The sequence below is a fragment of the Homo sapiens genome, chromosome 17, assembly GCF_000001405.40.
Source record: "Homo sapiens chromosome 17, GRCh38.p14 Primary Assembly".
Classification (NCBI taxonomy): Eukaryota; Metazoa; Chordata; class Mammalia; order Primates; family Hominidae; genus Homo; species Homo sapiens.
Genome location: NC_000017.11, coordinates 34083565 through 34089141, shown reverse-complemented (window position 1 = coordinate 34089141; position 5577 = coordinate 34083565). Strand labels below are relative to the sequence as shown.

The 5577-nt window shown below is 42.2% G+C and overlaps 1 protein-coding gene across 1 annotated transcript in view; it reads left to right on the top strand.

Annotated features, from left to right (window-relative positions):
- Positions 1–5577, top strand: part of ASIC2 (acid sensing ion channel subunit 2) — a 1143682-nt gene that overhangs the window by 67627 nt on the left and 1070478 nt on the right. The gene's annotated exons all lie outside the window — the stretch shown is intronic.

Here is a 5577-nt window from a genome sequence, read left to right as displayed (position 1 = left end):
CCCAGCATGAACGACGCAGAAGACAGGTGATTTCTGCATTTCCATCTGAGGTACCGGGTTCATCTCACTAGGGAGTGCCAGACAGTGGGCGCAGGTCAGTGGGTGCAGCGCACTGTGTGCGAGCCGAAGCAGGGCTAGGCATTGCCTCATTTGGGAAGCGCAAGGGGTCAGGAGGTTCCCTTTCCTAGTCAAAGAAAGGGGTGACAGACGGCACCTGGAAAATCGTGTCACTCCCACCCAAATACCGCGCTTTTCCGACGGGCTTAAAAAACAGCACACCAGGAGATTATATCCCGCACGTGGCTCGGAGGGTCCTACGCCCACGGAGTCTCGCTGATTGCTAGCACAGCAGTCTGAGATCAAACTGCAAGGCTGCAGCGAGGCTGGGGAGGGGCGCCCGCCATTGCCCAGGCTTGCTTAGGTAAACAAAGCAGCCGGGAAGCTTGAACTGGGTGGAGCCCACCACAGCTCAAGGAGGCCTGCCTGCCTCTGTAGGCTCCACTTCTGGGGACAGGGCACAGACAAACAAAAAGACAGCAGTAACCTCTGCAGACTTAAATGTCCCTGTCTGACAGCTTTGAAGAGAGCAGTGGTTCTCCTAGCACACAGCTGGAGATCTGAGAACGGGCAGACTGCCTCCTCAAGTGGGTCCCTGACCCCTGAGCAGCCTAACTGGGAGGCACTCCCCAGTAGGGGCAGACTGACACTTCACACGGCCGGGTACTCCTCTGAGACAAAACTTCCAGAGGAACAATCAGACAGCAGCATTCGCCGTTCACGAAAAACCGCTGTTCTGCAAACACCGCTGCTGATACCCAGGCAAACAGGGTCTGGAGTGGACCTCTAGCAAACTCCAACAGACCTGCAGCTGAGGGTCCTGTCTGTTAGAAGGAAAACTAACAAACAGAAAGGACATCCACACCAAAAACCCATCTGTACATCACCATCATCAAAGACCAAAAGTAGATAAAACCACAAAGATGGGGAAAAATACAGAGCAGAAAAACTGGAAACTCTAAAAATCAGAGCGCCTCTCCTCCTCCAAAGGAACGCAGTTCCTCACCAGCAATGGAACAAAGCTGGATGGAGAATGACTTTGACGAGTTGAGAGAAGAAGGCTTCAGATGATCAAACTACTCCAAGCTACAGGAGGAAATTCAAACCAAAGGCAAAGAAGTTAAAAACTTTGAAAAAAATTTAGAAGAATGTATAACTAGAATAACCAATACAGAGAAGTGATTAAAGGAGCTGATGGAGCTGAAAGCCAAGGCTCGAGAACTATGTGAAGAATGCAGAAGCCTCAGTAGCCAATGCGATCAACTGGAAGAAAGGGTATCAGTGATGGAAGATGAAATGAATGAAATGAAGTGAGAAGGGAAGTTTAGAGAAACAAGAATAAAAAGAAATGAACAAAGCCTCCAAGAAATATGGGACTATGTGAAAAGACCAAATCTACGTCTGATTGGTGTACCTGAAAGTGACGGGGAGAATGGAACCAAGTTGGAAAACACTCTGCAGGATATTATCCAGGAGAACTTCCCCAATCTAGCAAGGCAGGCCAACATTCAGATTCAGGAAATAGAGAGAACGCCACAAAGATACTCCTCGAGAAGAGCAACTCCAAGACACATAATTGTCAGATGAACCAAAGTTGGAATGAAGGAAAAAATGTTAAGGGCAGCCAGAGAGAAAGGTCGGGTTACCCACAAAGGGAAGCCCATCAGACTAACAGCTGATCTCTCGGCAGAAACTCTACAAGCCAGAAGAGAGTGGGGGCCAATATTCAACATTCTTAAAGAAAAGAATTTTCAACCCAGAATTTCATGTCCAGCCAAACTAAGCTTCATAAGTGAAGGAGAAATAAAATACTTTACAGACAAGCAAATGCTGAGAGATTTTGTCACCACCAGGACTGCCCTAAAAGAACTCCTGAAGGAAGCACTAAACATGGAAAGGAACAACCGGTACCAGCCACTGCAAAATCGTGCCAAAATGTAAAGACCATCGAGACGAGGAAGAAACTGCATCAACTAACAAGCAAAATAACCAGCTAACATCATAATGACAGGATCAAATTCACACAGAACGATATTAACTTTAAATGTAAATGGACTAAATGCTCCAATTAAAAGACACAGACTGGCAAATTGGATAAAGAGTCAAGACCCATCAGTGTGCTGTATTCAGGAAACCCATCTCCCATGCAGAGACACACATAGGCTCAAAATAAAAGGATGGAGGAAGATCTACCAAGCAAATGGAAAACAAAAAAAGGCAGGTGTTGCAGTCCTAGTCTCTGATAAAACAGACTTTAAACCAACAAAGATCAAAAGAGACAAAGAAGGCCATTACATAATGGGAAAGGGATCAATTCAACAAGAAGAGCTAACTATCCTAAATATATACGCACCCAATACAGGAGCACCCAGATTCATAAAGCAAGTCCTGAGTGACCTACAAAGAGACTTAGAGTCCCACACATTAATAATGGGAGACTTTAACACCCCACTGTCAACATTAGACAGATCAGTGAGACACAAAGTTAACAAGGATACCCAGGAATTGAACTCAGCTCTGCACCAAGCGGACCTAATAGACATCTACAGAACTCTCCACCCCAAATCAACAGAATATACATTTTTTTCAGCACCACACCACACCTATTCCAAAATTGACCACATAGTTGGAAGTAAAGCTCTCCTCAGAAAATGTAAAAGAACAGAAATTATAACAAACTATCTCTCAGACCACAGTGCAATCAAATTAGAACTCAGGATTAAGAAACTCACTCAAAACCGCTCAACTACATGGAAACTGAACAACCTGCTCCTGAATGACTACTTGGTACATAATGAAATGAAGGCAGAAATAAAGATGTTCTTTGAAACCAACGAGAACAAAGACACAACATACCAGAATCTCTGGGACACATTCAAAGCAGTGTGTAGAGGGAAATTTATAGCACTAAATGCCCACAAGAGAAAGCAGGAAAGATCCAAAATTGACACCCTAACATCACAATTAAAAGAACTAGAAAAGCAAGAGCAAACACATTCAAAAGCTAGCAGAAGGCAAGAAATAACTAAAATCAGAGCAGAACTGAAGGAAACAGAGACACAAAAAACCCTTCAAAAAATTAATGAATCCAGGAGCTGGTTTTTTGAAAGGATCAACAAAATTGATAGACCACTAGCAAGACTAATAAAGAAAAAACGAGAGAAGAATCAAATAGACACAATAAAAAATGATAAAGGGGATGTCACCACCGATCCCACAGAAATACAAACTACCATCAGAGAATACTACAAACACCTCTACACAAATAAACTAGAAAATCTAGAAGAAATGGATAAATTCCTCGACACGTACACTCTCCCAAGACTAAACCAGGAAGAAGTTGAATCTCTGAATAGACCAATAACAGGAGCTGAAATTGTGGCAATAATCAATAGCTTACCAACCAAAAAGAGTCCAGGACCAGATGGATTCACAGCCAAATTCTACCAGAGGTACAAGGAGGAACTGGTACCATTCCTTCTGAAACTATTCCAATCAATAGAAAAAGAGGGAATTCTCCCCAACTCATTTTATGAGGCCAGCATCATCCTGATACCAAAGCCTGGCAGAGACACAACCAAAAAAGAGAATTTTAGACCAATATCCTTGATGAACATCGATGCAAAAATCGTCAATAAAATACTGGCAAACCGAATCCAGCAGCACATCAGAAAGCTTATCCACCATGATCAAGTGGGCTTCATCCCTGGGATGCAAGTCTGGTTCAATATACACAAATCAGTAAATGTAATCCAGCATATAAACAGAACCAAAGACAAAAACCACATGATTATCTCAATAGATGCAGAAAAGGCCTTTGACAAAATTCAACAACCTTCATGCTAAAAACTCTCAATAAATTAGGTATTGATGGGACATATCTCAAAATAATAAGAGCTATCTATGACACACCCACAGCCAATATCATACTAAATGGGCAAAAACTGGAAGCATTCCCTTTGAAAATTGGCACAAGACGGGGATGCCCTCTCTCACCACTCCTATCCAACATAGTGTTGGAAGTTCTGGCCACGGCAATTAGGCAGGAGAAGGAAATAAAGGGTATTCAATTAGGAAAAGAGGAAGTCAAATTGTCCCTATTTGCAGACAACATGATTGTATATCTAGAAAACCCCATCGTCTCAGCCCCAAATCTCCTTAAGCTGATAGGCAACTTCAGCAAAGTCTCAGGATACAAAATCAATGTGCAAAAATCACAAGCATTCTTATACACCAATAACAGACAAACAGCCAAATCATGAGTGAACTCCCATTCACAATTGCTTCAAAGAGAATAAAATACCTAGGAATCCACCTTACAAGGGACGTAAAGGACCTCTTCAAGGAGAACTACAAACCACTGCTCAATGAAATAAAAGAGGATACAAACAAATGGAAGAACATTCCATGCTCATGGGTAGGAAGAATCAATATCGTGAAAATGGCCATACTGCCCAAGGTAATTTATAGATTCAATGCCATCCTCATCAAGCAACCAATGACTTTCTTCACAGAATTGGAAAAAACTACTTTAAAGTTCATATGGAACCAAAAAAGAGCCCACACCACCAAGTCAATCCTAAGCCAAAAGAAAGCTGGAGGCATCACGCTACCTGACTTCAAACTATACTACAAGGCTACAGTAACCAAAACAGCATGGTACTGGTACCAAAACAGAGATATAGATCAATGGAACAGAACAGAGCCCTCAGAAATAACGCTGCATATCTACAACTATCTCATCTTTGACAAACCTGACAGAAACAAGCAATGGGGAAAGGATTCCCTATTTAATAAATGGTGCTGGGAAAACTGGCTAGCCATATGTGGAAAACTGGCTAGCCACATGTAGAAAGCTGAAACTGGATTCCTTCCTTACACCTTATACAAAAATCAATTCAAGATGGATTAAAGACTTAAACGTTAGACCTAAAACCATAAAAACCCTAGAAGAAAACCTCAGCATTACTATTCAGGACATAGGCATGGGCAAGGACTTCATGTCTAAAACACCAAAAGCAATGGCAACAAAAGCCAAAATTGACAAATGGGATCTAATTAAACTAAAGAGCTTCTGCACATCAAAAGAAACTACCATCGGAGTGAACAGGCAACCTACAGAATGGGAGAAAATTTTCACAACCTACTCATCTGACAAAGGGCTAATATCCAGAATCCACAATGAACTCAAACAAATTTACAAGAAAAAAACAAACAACCCCGTCAAAAAGTGGGCGAAGGACCTGAACAGACACTTCTCGAAAGAAGACATTTATGCAGCCAAAACACACATGAAAAAATGCTCACCATCACTGGCCATCAGAGAAATGCAAATCAAAACCACAATGGGATATCATCTTACACCAGTTAGAATGGCAATCATTAAAAAGTCAGGAAACAACAGGTGCTGGAGAGGATGTGGAGAAATAGGAACACTTTTACACTGTTGGTGGGACTGTAAACTAGTTAACCATTGTGGAAGTCAGTGTGGCGATTCCTCAGGGATCTAGAACTAGAAAT